This window comes from Homo sapiens, chromosome 20, assembly GCF_000001405.40.
Source record: "Homo sapiens chromosome 20, GRCh38.p14 Primary Assembly".
Lineage (NCBI taxonomy): Eukaryota > Metazoa > Chordata > Mammalia > Primates > Hominidae > Homo > Homo sapiens.
Genome location: NC_000020.11, coordinates 47495215 through 47510324, shown reverse-complemented (window position 1 = coordinate 47510324; position 15110 = coordinate 47495215). Strand labels below are relative to the sequence as shown.

General features: G+C 43.5%; 1 protein-coding gene across 4 annotated transcripts in view, besides 2 other annotated features; it reads right to left on the bottom strand.

The window, feature by feature from the left end:
- NCOA3 (nuclear receptor coactivator 3) overlaps window positions 1-8438 on the bottom strand; it is a 154986-nt gene extending 146548 nt beyond the window's left edge. For all 4 annotated transcript variants that reach the window (NM_001174088.2, NM_181659.3, NM_001174087.2 and 1 more), the window contains exon 1: window positions 8306-8438. The gene's annotated coding sequence lies outside the window, so the exon portion shown is untranslated. The remainder of the gene's footprint in view (window positions 1-8305) is intronic.
- Window positions 8079-8198: a silencer, noted in NCBI's record as "silent region_12980". NCBI's record gives its function as "represses an Ori minimal core promoter by ATAC-STARR-seq in GM12878 lymphoblastoid cells {active_cell/tissue: GM12878}" and the evidence as "EXISTENCE:reporter gene assay evidence [ECO:0000049][PMID:35858748]".
- Window positions 9450-9522: a transcriptional cis regulatory region, noted in NCBI's record as "candidate enhancer chr20.2047 targeted for multiplex CRISPR interference". NCBI's record gives its function as "positively regulates SLC13A3 gene expression with high confidence in K562 cells {active_cell/tissue: K562}" and the evidence as "EXISTENCE:mutant phenotype evidence [ECO:0000015][PMID:30612741]".

The window sequence follows — 15110 nt, the reverse complement described above, 5'->3', positions numbered from 1 at the left end:
AGTAGCTGGGATTACAGGCACCCGCCACCATGCCCAGCTAATTTTTTTATATTTTTAGTAGAGACGGAGTTTCACCATCTTGGCCAGGATGGTCTCCAATTCCTGACTTCGTGATCCACTCATCTTGGCCTCCCAAAGTGCTGGGATTACAGGCGTGAACCACCACTCCTGGCCATGACTGTGTACGTTTAAAGTCGCTTTCTGGATTCCATTTTATTGATTCCTGATGAAAGTAGTTTTAAACTTAATATGGTAACAGTCCTGTCTTATTATATGACAAAGATATCACTGACCCTCCAATGATGCAAGATGTGTAGAGTTATTTTTCTCACTGGTGGAGTTTCTTCACTGGTAGATTTTCCTATATGTAGTCAACTACTGTTCCAACTGCGGTGAAGACAACTACCTCAATTGAGATTAACACATTGTCATAAAACACAATTACCACCAAGCAAGTAAAAGGAAATAGATGAGCTGGGATGGAACACAGAGTGTGTAGTAGACTAAAGGGACAATTTGATAAACAGTACTGAGTAACTCTTATAACATTTTCAAATAAAATTGCCAAATTTTTTTAATAGAGATGGGGGGGTCTTGCTATGTTGCCCAGGCTGGTCTTGAACTCCTAGGCTCAAGCAAGTCTCTGGTCTCAGCCTCCCAAATTGCTGGGATTACAGGCAGGAGCCACTGCACTCAGCCCCAAAATTGCCAAATTTCAATCTGGAAACAAACTCAAGCTGATATAGCTACTCCACAAGATGACTTAAATAATCCATTTCAACGACAGCAATTTCACTGAGAGTAAAGAAAGTAACACTTGCTTTTCTTACACGAGAAGGAGGGGACTGAAAATCCCTCTCTCTCACACACACACACTTTTACCCAGTTATAGCATATACTGTGATGAAGTCAGGCGATTAAAGTCCCTTTTGAGACAGGGTCTCACTCTGTCACTCAGGCTGGTGTGCAATGGCACAATCACAGCTCATTGCACCCTCAACCTCCTGGGCTCAAGTCATCCTCCCAGCTCAGTCTCACATGCGGCTGGGACCACAGGCGCACATCACCATGCCCGGCTAATTTTTTTTTCCTATTTTTTATAGAGACAGGATCTTACTTTGTTGCCCAGGCTGGTCTCAAATTCCTGGGCTCAAGTGATCCTCCTCTCAAAGTGCTGGGATTACAGGTGTGAGCCATGGGACCCAGCCTCTAAATTCTTTATAAGTCAGCACTGAAAGCTGCATCTAACTTCACACGGTTATCTGGTATAAAGAGCTTAATTCATTTATGTTCAATCAACAAAATTTAAGTAAAAGAGCATTGTACATATCTACATAATGCCTTAAGTTTATAGAATTGTATAAAATAAGGAACCTTGGAAAACCATACAGAGCACCCTTTGTTTTAAAATTTTAAAAACTGGCCAAGAGAGATTGATTTGTCCAAAGCTTATAGCACATGCTTACAAATTATTCTGAACTCTGCCCTAGGTAAGTCTTCTTTTCAAAGTAACAAGCTAACAAAATATATTGATCAGGTACCAAAAAGGAAAAAAAGGTTTTCACATGTAGATTTCTTTTTAATCAAAGTTCTGTTTTGAAACTGAACATATGATCATGCTGCTCTTTCCACCAACAGCAATTAACTTTCATTTATAAAAATGTCAGTTTAGGACATTTCTATTATGATACACATTTTCTTTCAAAGTAAAATAATATGGCTTTAGATTTCATTTAAACAGAAGGGCAAAGAATATTTACTCCAAAAGTGCCCCCTTTTTTGTTAAAACCCTTTCTTCCCCTCCCCATGCTTTCTCTTCTTTTGTACTAAAGTTCTCAAATGCATGAGATGGAGGAACAATACCACAATACAACTGCAGGCTTCCTGCCTACTAGTCAGTCATTATTCTTCAGTCTTGAGAATTTTCAAAACACTGCTTGGGTTGCTTTGAAATTCCTTCTTTCAGATTTTCCCTCCTTCATGGAACATCTATTTAAAAGAATGACTTCAAAAATGTCTTGCTGCACCCAATCCAAATTCTCTAAACAAACTAAAAATGCTAGCCTTAGATATGAAGGTGGGATGTAAATGCCTGAAGCTTGGCAAACACCAACCTAATAAAAGTACAGGACAGAAAGAAGTATATTTCTGGCCAAGCATAAGAACAGTCTTTTTCTTATATGTATATAAATTAAGCTTGTTTCTGAAAATTTTCATATTTATATGGATAGTATCACGAAGTTAAAAACTACATCATTACTATCCCTTTTTTTTAAACAATACAATTTATAGACCTAAAAATCTCAACCTACATTGATAGCTGAGGAGAAAGGGGCTAAGTCAATTATTACTGACTTAAATTTCACACTAAAATGATGTATATTCATTTATTTTTTAAAAGTTGTTGGCCAGGCGTGGTGGCTCACACCTGTAATTCCAGCACTTTGGGAGGCCGACGCGGGCAGATCACCTGAGGCTGGGAATTCGAGACCAGCCTGACCCACATGGAGAAACCGCCATCTCTACTAAAAATACAAAATTAGCCAGGTGTAGTGGCACATGCCTGTAATCCTAGCTACTCACGAGGCTGAGGCAGGAGAATCACTTGAACCTGGGAGGCAAAGGTTACAGTGAGCCAAGATCGTGCCATTGCACTCCAGCCTGGGCAACAAGAGTGAAACTCCATCTCAAAACAACAACAACAACAACAACAAAAAGTTGTTGGGTGCTCTAAGGATCAGGGTTAAATTTAAAAATATATATACATGTTGTTGGGGACAGAAAAAATTAACAGCACCAGTCACCTGCAAACCTGGGGAATTTCCCATTCTTCTGACCACACTTAGATGGTGGTAGTACTTACTAACAAACTAATTAGGTTGTCGACATAAACCAAGAGCTACTCAAAACATGGTGTGGAGGGGTGATATACATGCTCTGCCACTGCCCAGCTCAACATGCTTTCTTTTCTTTTTAAAGGTAAAAGCATTAAAGATGGAAGGTTCATGAACAACTTGTCAAATTGTTACAATAAATGGAAATTTTTCCAAAATCTCTAACACCTCTAACAAAAAGACTGTTTTAAACAATATTTAATAAAGTCTAATCCCAGTACAACAAAATAATTTGGCCAGTCCCCTGGAGTTCGTTATAATGGGATTTAACCTGTACACTCAACATTCAATTAACCATAAGGCTTATCCTAATTGAGGATTATGCTGACTTCTGCAGTCCTTTCCCATCTATCCATCTACCACGCCAACTCAGCTGCCATAGCCACCAAAGCAAAGCCCCAGGAAGCAGATTATCCATTACTGTGTGATACCCAGGCCAAGATTCCCTTTTCATCATTATGTGGCTAATCAATAGTTAAATTCAGTAATCTAGTCACCCTGGTTTCCAAAAAGTGAAGCTGCATAACCCTCATTCATAGCCTCTAACCAAGGAAATTAAACATTTCAACAGAATACCTTTTCATAGGAATAACAGATGAAAAATGTCACACCCTTTCCTAGAACATATCAATAAAAAAATTAACAGAAAATTTAAAAAAAAAGACACAGATGTTCCTAACAAAAATATTTTAAAAGCCAAACAAAATAGACACTAGTCCATTTGCTCTTGGAATATTACTTTAAATGGGTAAAACCTGTTTGCCAGTCAGGTCCGACTCCTTTCCTTTGCCTTTAGGCCACAAAGTTTACTACACAGTTAGTTAAATAAACCCTATTACTGCCCCCCACTGTAAACTGACCTAGGCTGGCAGTACCTACCAAACTGAGTTAATGCTAACAAAGTTTGGTACTGGCAGTATGCAGCCTAAGAAGATTATCCAGTTTGTGGATAAATCGGCCTTCTACACACTGCAGGTCTCCCATCCTACTCCTGCTGTGTATTTTCTGGCCATTTTCCTGTTCATTTAAAAACTCTCCACCAGAAGGTAGGAAAGGGAAAGGCAATTAAATTCAATTCCATAATTTGTTAGGGGGCTGAAAATAAAGTTAGGCTCTGGATAAATTGCATCTTTAACCTAAAATAATCTTCTCCCAGAAACCCTCTCAGAAAAATGATAGACAAAATGAATTTACCTAGTAAAAACATGACCAAACTCATGGAATATGCCTCATTACCACAAAGCCCCTCCTCCACCTTAATTCTGAAGTGTTTATTTTGTAACCCCTCCCCAACCCCAAGAAGCACTCATAAAATGGGAGAAAATGGGCCGGGAGCGGTGGCTCACGCCTGTAACCCCAGCACTTTGGAAGGCCAAAGCAGGAGGATCACTTGAGGTCAGGAGTTCGAGACCAGCCTGGCCAACACGATGAAACCCCATCTCTACTAAAAATACAAAAATTAGCCGGGCATGGTGGCGAGCGCCGGTAGTCCCAGCTACTCGGGCAGGGGCTGAAGCACGAGAATCGCTTGAACCTGGGAGGCAGAGGTTGCAGTGAGCCGAGATCATGCCACTGCACTCCAGCCTGAGCAACAGAGTGAGACTCTGTCTCAAAAAAAAAAAAAAAAAAAGGAGAAAATGCCTACATTTTACTGCAGCACTCAATCTCAAAGCTATTCCTGAGAATCCAAACCAATATAGTCCCCTTGTTTTTCAATTTTTTGAAGTATGAGAAAAAAATAAGAAAAAGTTAACATACATTTCCAATACTAATTTTCTGCTCTCAGAGCTTTAACCGCTCAGTAATGCAAAAAACAAATATTTATACCAAGGATATGAACCAAACTGCTACAGGTAATCTCTTCAATCATGATCAACAAGTCTTGTTTTTTTTCTAATCCTAGATAGCTTTACAGGGTAACAACTGTATTAAATTGTGACAAATTTGCTGTTGTAGACCAAAAGTCACTGGCGGCTAATATGCATTCTAAACTTGCAACAAATTAAAAGTTTTCAAAAGTACTCTACCTCCTCTGGCCAAAGTGTGAAATTATATAGTTTTTAAAAAATGCAGGCTGGCGTGATGGCTCACACCTGTAATCCCAGCACTTTGGGAGGCCAAGGCAGGTGGATTACCTGAGGTTGGGAGTTCGAGACCAGCCTGGCCAACATGGTAAACTTTGTCTCTACTAAAAATACAAAAATAGCCGGGCGTGGTGGTGCGCACCTGTAATCCCAGCTACTTGGGAGGCTGACACAGGAGAATTGCTTGAACCCAGGAGGCAGAGGTTGCAGTGAGCCAAGATCGCGCCGCTGCACTCCAGCCTGGGCAACAGAGCAAATTTCCTTCTCAAAAAAAAAAAAAAAGAAAGAAAAGAAAAAAAAAAAACGCCCCTGCCCGCAAAAAAAAAAAAAAAAAAAAAAAAAACCAAAAACCCAAAGCCATTTATTTTAACCATCAATTTGGGATAGGACAATAGCAGAGTTTTTAAATCTTACCCTATTGTCCAAACTAAAATTTATTTTTTAATTTTCTTTTAAAGACTTTTCAATTACAGTACTCCAAGTTAAAATGAATTATTCCAGAATCATACTGCTAATGCACAAGACAGAATTTTTTTTTTTTTTGAAACAGAGTCTCATTCTGTTGCCCAGGCTGGAGTGCAGTGGTGCAATCTCGGCTCACTGCAACCTCCGCCTCCCGGGTTCAAGCCATTCTTCTGCCTCAACCTCCTGAGTAGCTGGAACTACAGGTGCTCGCCACCACGCCCGGCTAATTTTTTGTATTTTTAGTAGTGAAGGGGTTTCACCATCTTTGCCAGGCTGTTCTCAAACTCCTGACCTCGTGATCCACCAGCCTTGGCTTCCCAAAGTGCTGGGATTACAGGCCTGAGCCACTGCAGCCCGGCAGAAAGAACTGAATTCGTTAAAAAAAAAAAAAAAAAAAAAAAAAGACACACTTAGCTTTTATCTTTAATGTAATGTCCCTGCAAGAAAGCTTATTTCAAAAGACCAGTCAAGAAGACATTAGTAAGCAACCATTTTTAAACTACTTTTTATTTGCATATCGCCTAGAAAAAGGGTCTCACGTACAACAGTACTTCACTCCTTACTGAATTCTATTTTATTTGCTCGGGAGGTGCGTGGCACTTTTTAGAAATAATTTTTATACAGAGAAGGAAATGCACAGCATAATCATTTTCAAAATACAGTTAAATTATTTAATATAATCTTTAATAACCTAGCTCTAATATCACTGAATTTCCTTAGCAAATTGTTAGTGTTGGCAAGCTGTTAAAACAACCATTCTAAAATATAAAAATATAAATCTCGCTATTGATGCTTAAGTTGTACATTTTCAAAGCCTTTGTAATTAAATATCTTATGGCAGAAATATTTCCTATAACTGCTCTAGAAATATTACAGCCTCCCGCTTAGTCCACAATCCCCATCTTCTATATGCCAAAAGCTGGTATATGCCTCTTATTTCAAATGCTGATTGGACAATTAAGTCATTTCCATCTATACATAAAATGCCCCTATAATTTAGGATCACAGGCAATTTAGATTTCTGCTCATTGAAATGCAGAACCTGAAGCAACCTCTAGTGACAGGAGCTATAGTGTTCAATATCATTTTACATGTTACAAGCAGAGGATTCATTGTACATACAAACAATGAACCCTGGCAGAGTTCTTTATCCTAAAGCCCCACAGATTGTTATTTAACGGTATTAATAGATAAGGTGACATAAGCAGTAAGTTCTGAAGAGCTTTTTCCAATAGCTATCAACATTTTTTTTAAGAGAGCAAAAACAGTATTCCCACATTTTCTGTTTCTTCTGTTCATTTTATTTCCCTGCTTTTGGTATCCAACAGAAGTGGTTTCAAATGAAAATCTTAAAATAATTATTCCAAAGACCAAGGATATTCTAAAAACCAGTAACAGTCTTTGCCTCTGAGAAGGGGAAACTGTAGGGTTTGGCGTGAAAGAGAGATTCACTTTTCAATGTGTTTGTACCTTTCCAATTGGATATCATTCGGTAGAACCATATTCTAAATGAGCATACATTTAAAATATTTTCAAGAACAAACAATTCACAAACTTACAGGTTTCCATTAACATTTTCGTTTGTGCAGCATTCGCTGAAGACCTAAGATTTTTATTCCTCCAATCACCTTCTCAACAACCTGCTGCAACAAATACTGAAGCTTTTTTGCAGCCAGGGATCAGTTAGGTGGATCCGAGGCCAGGCATTTAAATCAAAGAGATGCAGCAATCTTACTCAATACTACTACCACTCTCACGCATCTCATTCAACTCCATTTAAAACCACTGCAGCAAGACAGCTGGTACTCTCCTTCCTGTTTCTTTACCGTACAGGCTTAATAACAAAAACAGGTTGGTTTTGAAGCCCTGCTCAAATATTGCAAAAAGGAAGTCTTCGCATTCGGGAGGGGGAAAAAAGTTTCGACTTCGAGAGAATCTCATAGCTTCCGTGTCATTCCATTTGGGAATCCCAGATCCTGCCAGTGAGGTAGATGCTCGCTCTCTCGGTTAACTTTTCCACCCTAGATGCCCTCAAACTGCCTAGGAAGCAACTAAGTCTCCCAACGACCCATGGCTAGTTTTGTTAAGGCAGGTACAAGACAAGCAGTTTATTTAAACCATGACGAACTGGGTCGATGTTCATAAAATGAGAGATGGGGAGAGCAAAAAAAAAAAAAAAGTAGTAATAAAGACAGCCAAACTCCTAATTTTATCAACCAACTTCCCACTTGCCATTTCCCAGCCTTCACACCAGAGGTAGTAAAACGCCTTTTTACCGAGAAAACTAAGAAGCTACCCGAGCCCAACATGAAAATTCCGCGGACAATTCGTGTTAAAATATTTTTTAAATGCCCAAGTGAGGAGGAAACACAGCAACCAAATCTCACCCGGCTGGGAGGCTGGGGTGGGGGGGGTCCCCGCGGCTTTTCCCTCCCGTGCGTCCCAGAAGCTGCTAAGGAGCCGGGGCAGCAGGAGGACGACGCGGGGAGCTTTCAAAAGGGCTGGGGGAGGCAAGAGGAAGAAAAAACTTTAGGGACAGAAGGGGAAAGTGGGCCCCTGCAGTCCCCCCGCAAACTCCTCGGGTGACCCCTCCGCGCGGGGACCCCCTCGGATCCCCAAGCGGACTGCCACCCAGCTTCGTCTCAGCTCCTACCGCCGCGGGCCGCCCCCCGGGCTGAGGGGAAGCGGCGCGGCCCCGACACCCCGAAACTACCTCAGCGCGTCCCCCGGCCGGCGCGCCCCTCAGTGCCTTGGCAGATCTGAAGCCGCTGGCTCTCGCAGCCTGGGGAACTCGCCCCTCTTCCCTCCGCCTCGCACTCCACCCCCTCGCCCGCCACCGCCTCCTCCTTTATCTCCACTCACCTCCCGCCGCCATTTTCCTCGCAGCTCAGCTTTAAATCGGAAACTCGCCGCTCAGCCCGCAGCCGCCGCCGGCCGCCACCGACTAAGCCGCAGCCGCTGCCGTCGCTGTGGAGCGGCTGAGACAGCAGCAGCTAAAGTCGCCGCACGGGGGCCACTGGGATATGTAGTCCCGAGGCCACGCCCAGCACTACCGGTCCCAGGGGGCCTTGCGCGGCCGGCCTAGGGTTCCAGCGACCCCCACCCTGGCTTCCGCGGCGGAGGGCGTGGCGACGTGGGCTCGTGCGGCCGCTTTCGCCCAGCATCGACTGGGAGCTCCCTCGGGATCCGGAGAACCGGAATGCAGTCCTAGCCCTGCCCTTAATTTTTTTCATATTTGCCTTCGTCCAGTAATACCTAACATTTGTGGAGCGTTTCTGGTATGCCAAGCACGGATCCTCAAAACAAGCATCCGGTAGGGACCATGATCATCCTCATTTTTCAGATGAGCGAACTGAGGCACAAGGTCGGAAGCCACGAGGCTGTTCCTTAGCTGCTAAAGTCACTGGGTGAAATGTTGTTGGGCAGCAGTATATTCAGGGTATATTTAGTCCCGAAGTATCATCCCACAGCGTATTTATGACTTACAATAAAGAACAGCTTGCTTTACAATGGAAAGATCTGGCAGGCACCCCCTTACCAAGTGATCGAACTTAGCACCACCAATAATGGGTCAGGACTGTTGTTATGTGTCTCCTAATATGATGCAGTGGGGAAAGCATATTGCTACCTCTGTCGTATTCTTGCCACATACACACAAAAAGCTTACTTGAAAAAATAAACGAATTCAGAATGTGGGACATTCTACACAACATCTAGCCTGGAGTCTTTTAAAATATGACAGCATGAAAGAGGTGAAAACCAAAAGCAATAGGTGAGACTTGATTGGATTCAGGATGATTTTTTTATGTAAAAAGAATTTGGGGGGCAATTTCAATGTGGACTGTATGTTAGATAATATTGAGTCAGTATTAGATGTGTTGAGTGTAAATAAAATAGAATAATCTGACCACTTACCACCTCCACGGTCAGCACCATCATTTCCCACCTGGACCACTGCAACAGCCTCCTCAGTGTTCTGCCTGCTTCCACTCTTTCCTCTTAGAGTCTATACTCAACACAGCAGCCAGAGGAATCCTGGTAAGAACCAAGTCAGTCTCTGTCCCTCCTGCAAAATTCTTGCAGTAACCTGCAAAGCCCCATACAGCCCGTCTCTTGCCCTGCCCTTCCCTCTCTAAACTCATCACCTTCTTCTCTTCCACTCACTTCTGTAACTCAGCTACAATGGACTCGGCCTCTCCAACGTGCTTAGCACACTCTGGCCTTAAAGATCGTGCACTTGCTATTTCCTCTGCCTAGAACAGTATTTTCCCAGAAAATTCAAATAACCCATTCCCTAATCTCCCCATGGTCATTGTCCAAATGTCACTTATTCAGTGAGGCTTTCCCTAACTGCTCTATTTTAACTTCCTGCCCACTCTGATCCCAGCTTTCCCTACTCCTATTCCTTTCTTCATTTATTTTCAGAGCATGAATTATCATTAAAATCATGATATATTTCTGTTTACTTATGTTATTTAAAATATCTCATTTTGGCTGGGCGCGGTGACTCACGAATGTAATCCCAGCACTTTGGGAGGCCAAGGCAGGCAGATCACCTGAGGTCGGGAGTTCAAGACCAGCCTGACCAATATGGAGAAACCCCGTCACTACTAAAAATACATAATTAGCTGGGCATGGTAGCACATGCCTGTAATCCGAGCTACTCAGGAGGCTGAGGCAGGAGAATCACTTGAACCTGGGGGCAGAGGTTGCGGTGAGCCGAGATGGCACCATTGCACTCCAACCTGGGCAACAAGAGTGAAACTCCGTCTCAAAAAAAAAAAAAGTAAAAATTAAAAAATTAAATATCTCATTTCTGGGCCGGGCACGGTGGCTCACACCTGTAATCCCAACACTTTGGGAGGCCAAGGTGGGCAGATCACCTGAGGTCAGAAGTTCCAGACCAGCCTGCCCAACATGGCGAAACCCCGTCTCTACTAAAAATACAAAAGATTAGCTGGGCATGGTGGCAGGCGCCTATAATCCTGGCTACTCGGGAGGCTGAGGCAGGAGAATCACTTGAACCCGGGAGGCAGAGGTTGCAGTGAGCCGAGATCGCGCCACTGCACTCCAGCCTGGGCCACAAGAGCGAAACTCTGTCTCAAAAAAATATATATATATATATTTCCACCAGGGCACAGTGGCTCAGGCCTGTAATCCCAACACTTTGGAAGGCCGAGAGATTGCTTGAGCCCAGGAGTTCAAGACCAGCCTTGGCAACAAAGCAGATACCCAGTCTCTACAAAAAATTTTAAAATTAGCTTGGTGTGGTGGCGCCTGCTTGTATTCCCAAGTACTCAGGAGGCTGAGGTGGGAGGATTGCCTGAGTAGGGGAGGTCAAGGCTGCAGTGAGCCATGCTTGCACCACTGCACTCCAGCCTGGGCGACAGAGTGAGACTCCATTTCAAATATATATATATATAAAATAAAAATAATAAAATAAAATACTGCGTTAGATGCTGAGAACCCAGAGATGAAATGCTCACACGTGTATGGCCTTTCACCTCAGCAACTGCACCTGTCTCCTAGCTACTCTCCTTGCTTCTCTCCCTTTCATCCTCTACAGGGCACTCCCAATACAGTAGCCAGAGGGATCCTTGAAAAATCATGTATTAAATCATGTTACTTCCAACCTAGGCCGGGTACGGTGGCTCACGCCTGTAATTCCAGCACTTTGGGAGGGCAAAGCAGGCAGATCACTTGAGGTCAGGGTTTTGAGGCCAGCCTGACCAATATAGTGAAACCCTGTCTCTACTAAAAATACAAAATTAGCTGGGCATGGTGGCACACACCTGTAGTCCTAGCAACTTGGGAGGCTGAAGCAGGAGAATCTCTTGAACCCAGGAGGCAGAGGTTGCAGTAAGCCAAGATCATGCCACTGCACTCCAGCCAGGGCAACAAGAGCGTAACTCCATCTCAAAAACAAAACAAAACAAAACAAAACAAAAAACTTCCAACCTAAACAGCTTCGAATGGCATCCCATTGCATTTGGGATAAAACTCAGACCCTAGTTGGGTGTGGTGGCCCACGCTTCTAGTCCTAGCTACTCAGAAAGCTGAGGTGAGAGGATTGCTTGAGCCCGGAAGTTCGAGGCTGCAGTGAGCCGTAATTGTGCCAGTGCACTCCAACCTGGGTGACAGAGGGAGACCCTGACTCCATTTAAGAAAACAAACTACTCTGACCCTAATTGATTTGGTCTCTGCTCCCCTCCCTGATCTCAGGTGATATATCTCTCCCTATATCTCACCCCATGTCACACTAACATTCCTGAACACACCAAGCATATTCCTGCCTCAGGACCTGTGCACCTGTTGTTCCTTTTGCCTAGAATTTTCTTTCCTCCTGGCTTGCTCTCTATTGCCATTCAAGTCTCTGCTGCAATGTCTCCTTCTCGGATAGAACTTCTAAAGCACTAAACACACACACAGGCACAAACACAGTCATATCACCCTGCTTTGTCTTCACAATGATTCATACCATACACCATCTGAATTTTTTTAGAAATTTTTTTTTTTTAGATGGAGTTTCACTCTTGTTGCCCAGACTGGAGTGCAATGGCGTGATCTCGGCTCACCACAACCTCCGACTCCCGGGTTCAAGTGATTCTCCTGCCTCAGCCTCCTGAGTAGCTGGGATTACAGGCACATGCCACCATGCCCAGCTAATTTTTTGCATTTTTAGTAGGGACGGGGTTTCTCCATGTTGAAATGCAGTGGCACAATCATGGCTCACTGTAACCTCAAACTTCTGGCTCAGCTGAATTTTTTTGAGACAGAGCCTTGCTCTGTTGCCCCGGCTGGGGTGTAGTGGTGTGATCTCAGCTCACTGCAATCTCCGCCTCCTGAGTTCAAGGGCTTCCTCTGCCTCAGCCTCCCGAGTAGCTGGGATTACAGGCACGTGCCACCACACTTGGCTAATTTTTGTATTTTTAGTAGAGATGGGGTGTTACCATGTTGGCCAAGCTGGTCTTGTATTCCTGACCTCAAGTAATCCAACCTCCTTGGCCTCTCAACATGCTGGGATTTACAGGCGTGTGCCACTGCGCCTGGCAAACATTGGCAGAGTTTGATGGAACCTGTAGGTGATCTTGTAGTGAGTGACATGTGGAAACACTGCTCTAGACTCAAAATCTAAGCCAAATGAGTGACACACTCTACAAGATAGTCTGTGTAGGTGCCCACTATCATTCTTTCCTGCTGTTTGCACAGGCCACTCCTACATCGAAAGGTAGGCTTTATTTCCTCTTCCTTGAACTGGAGTTGACTCTGTAACTGTTTGACCAATGGAAATAGTGGAAGTGATGTCATGGGACTTTCAAGTCTAGGCTTTAAGATGATTGGGGTGGCTCATGCCTGTAATCCCAGCACTTTGGGAGGCTGAGGCAGGTGGATCACCTGAGGTCAGGAGTTCGAGACCAGCCTGGCCAACATGGTGAAACCGCGTCTCTACTAAAAGTACAAAAATTAGCCAGGCGCCGTGGCACATGCCTGTAAACCCAGCTACTCTGGAGGCTGAGGAAGGAGAATCGCTTGAACCTGGGAGGCGGAGGTTGCAGTGAGCCAAGATTGTGCCACTGCACTCCAGCCCAGGCGACAGAGTGAGATTCTGTCTCAATAAAATAAAATAAAATAAAATAAAATAAAATAAAGATGATTGGCAGCTTACACTTTCTTCCTCATGGAACCCAGCTGCCAGATTATGGGAAGCCTAAGCCACATGGAGAGGCTACATGAAGTAAAAACTGAAGCACTCCACTTGGCAGCCCCAGCTGAGATTCCAGGCAAGAGCCTGCAGTAACTGTCAGCCATGCAAATGAGCCTTCTCATACATTTCAGTCCTTAGAGGCCCCAGGTGACTATAGTGTTGACCAGAACATTGTGAAAAAAAAGTTATAAAAAAGGAAAATAGGTAGTTTTTAAAAATAAAAATAAATGGCCAGGCGCAGTGGCTCATGCCTGTAATCCCAGCACTTTGGGAGGCCAAGGCAGGTGGATCATTTGAGGTCAGGAGTTCGCGACCAGCCTGACCAACATGGTGAAACCCTGTCTCTACTAAAAATACAAAATTAGCTGGGTATGGTAGCACACACCTGTAATCCCAGCTACTCGGGAGGCTGAGGCAGGAGAATCGCTTGAACCCAGGAGGCAGAGCTTGCAGTGAGCCAAGATCGCGCCATTGCATTCCAGCCTGGGCAACAGAGCGAGACTCAGTCTCAAAAAAAAAAAAAAAAGAAAAAAAACTAAATCATAATTAAATAATTTTTTAAAAAAAAGAACTGGAACAGAAGAACCATCCCACCAAACCTAATCAACCAAGAGAATCATGGGAGATAATAAAGATGTTGTTCTTTCAGCCACTAATCTTTACAGTGATTTACTATGCAGCAATGGATTATTGAAATACTATGTAAGTGTGAAGTTTTGTTGAACTGTGGCTGAGAACTTTTAATAGGTAGGAAGAATAATTTCAAATTCTGAAATTATTCCTCAATAAAATTGGCTTGACCTAGGGGACCCAAAGGCACAAATTCTCTGAGGATACGATTAGAAGGTCAACTAGAACAAGCCCTCCAAAAATGAAGAGATCCTGCCTACAAATATTTCTGAGTGCATGAAGCCTCTACTTACATGCTGCCCTGTGAACTTCCTCAAGGGCAGCTGTGCCAGTTAGGATTCTTGGGTTGCAAGCAACAGCAATAGACTTTGAAATGTAGCAAAATGATATCCAGGAACTCAAAGAATCAATGGGAAGTCTGGAGGGCCAGGTCGGAAATGTCAGAAACAAAGGGAAGAAAAGAAGAAAAGTAAAAGTGAATAAATAAAAAAAGAAAAAAAGATTTAAATAAAGAAAAAGAAAGCAAGGGAAGAGAAGATACTTGAAGATACTTGAACATCTTTTTCTTTTTCCTTTTTTTTTTTTTTTGGAGATGGAGTTTTGTTCTTGTGGTCCAGGCTGGAGTGCAATTGCACAATCATGGCTCACAGCAACCTCCGCCTCCCAGGTTCAAGCAATTCTCCTGCCTCACCTCCCAAGTAGCTGGGATTACAGGCATGTGCCACCACACCTGGCTAATTTTTGTTAATAGAGACAGGATTTTACCACTTTGGCCAGGCTGGTCTTGAACTCCTGACCTCAGGTGATCCACCTGCCTTGGCCTCCCAAAGTGCTGGGATTACAGGTGTAAGCCACTGCGCCTGGCCATACTTGAACATCTTATCTGAGACCAGCAGTAGATCTAGAAAAGACCACTCATTTTATCCTGTCCTCTCATTACCCTATTCCAAGATTCAAATTCCGAAGAGTAATCTGTTCAATTGATCTAGCTTGGGTCACATGTTTTATATGAAAGGAACTCCAGACCGGTAACAATGGTAACTAGCCTGCTTGCAACTTGCTCTCAAATGATTTAGGGAGAAAAAATGCACACACACAGGGAGAGAGAGTACAGATGAGCAAATATGGCAAAATGTGATCAATTAGTACGTTTAGGTTTAGGGTACACAGGTTTGTTTGGGGTTTTTTTGTTTGTTTGTTTTCAGGTGAAGTCTCACACTGTCATCTAGGCTGGGGTGCAGTGGCGCGATCTCTGCTCACTGCAACCTCTGCCCCCCAGATTTAAGCGATTCTCCTGCCTCAGCCTCCCGAGTAGTTGGGATTACAGGCACC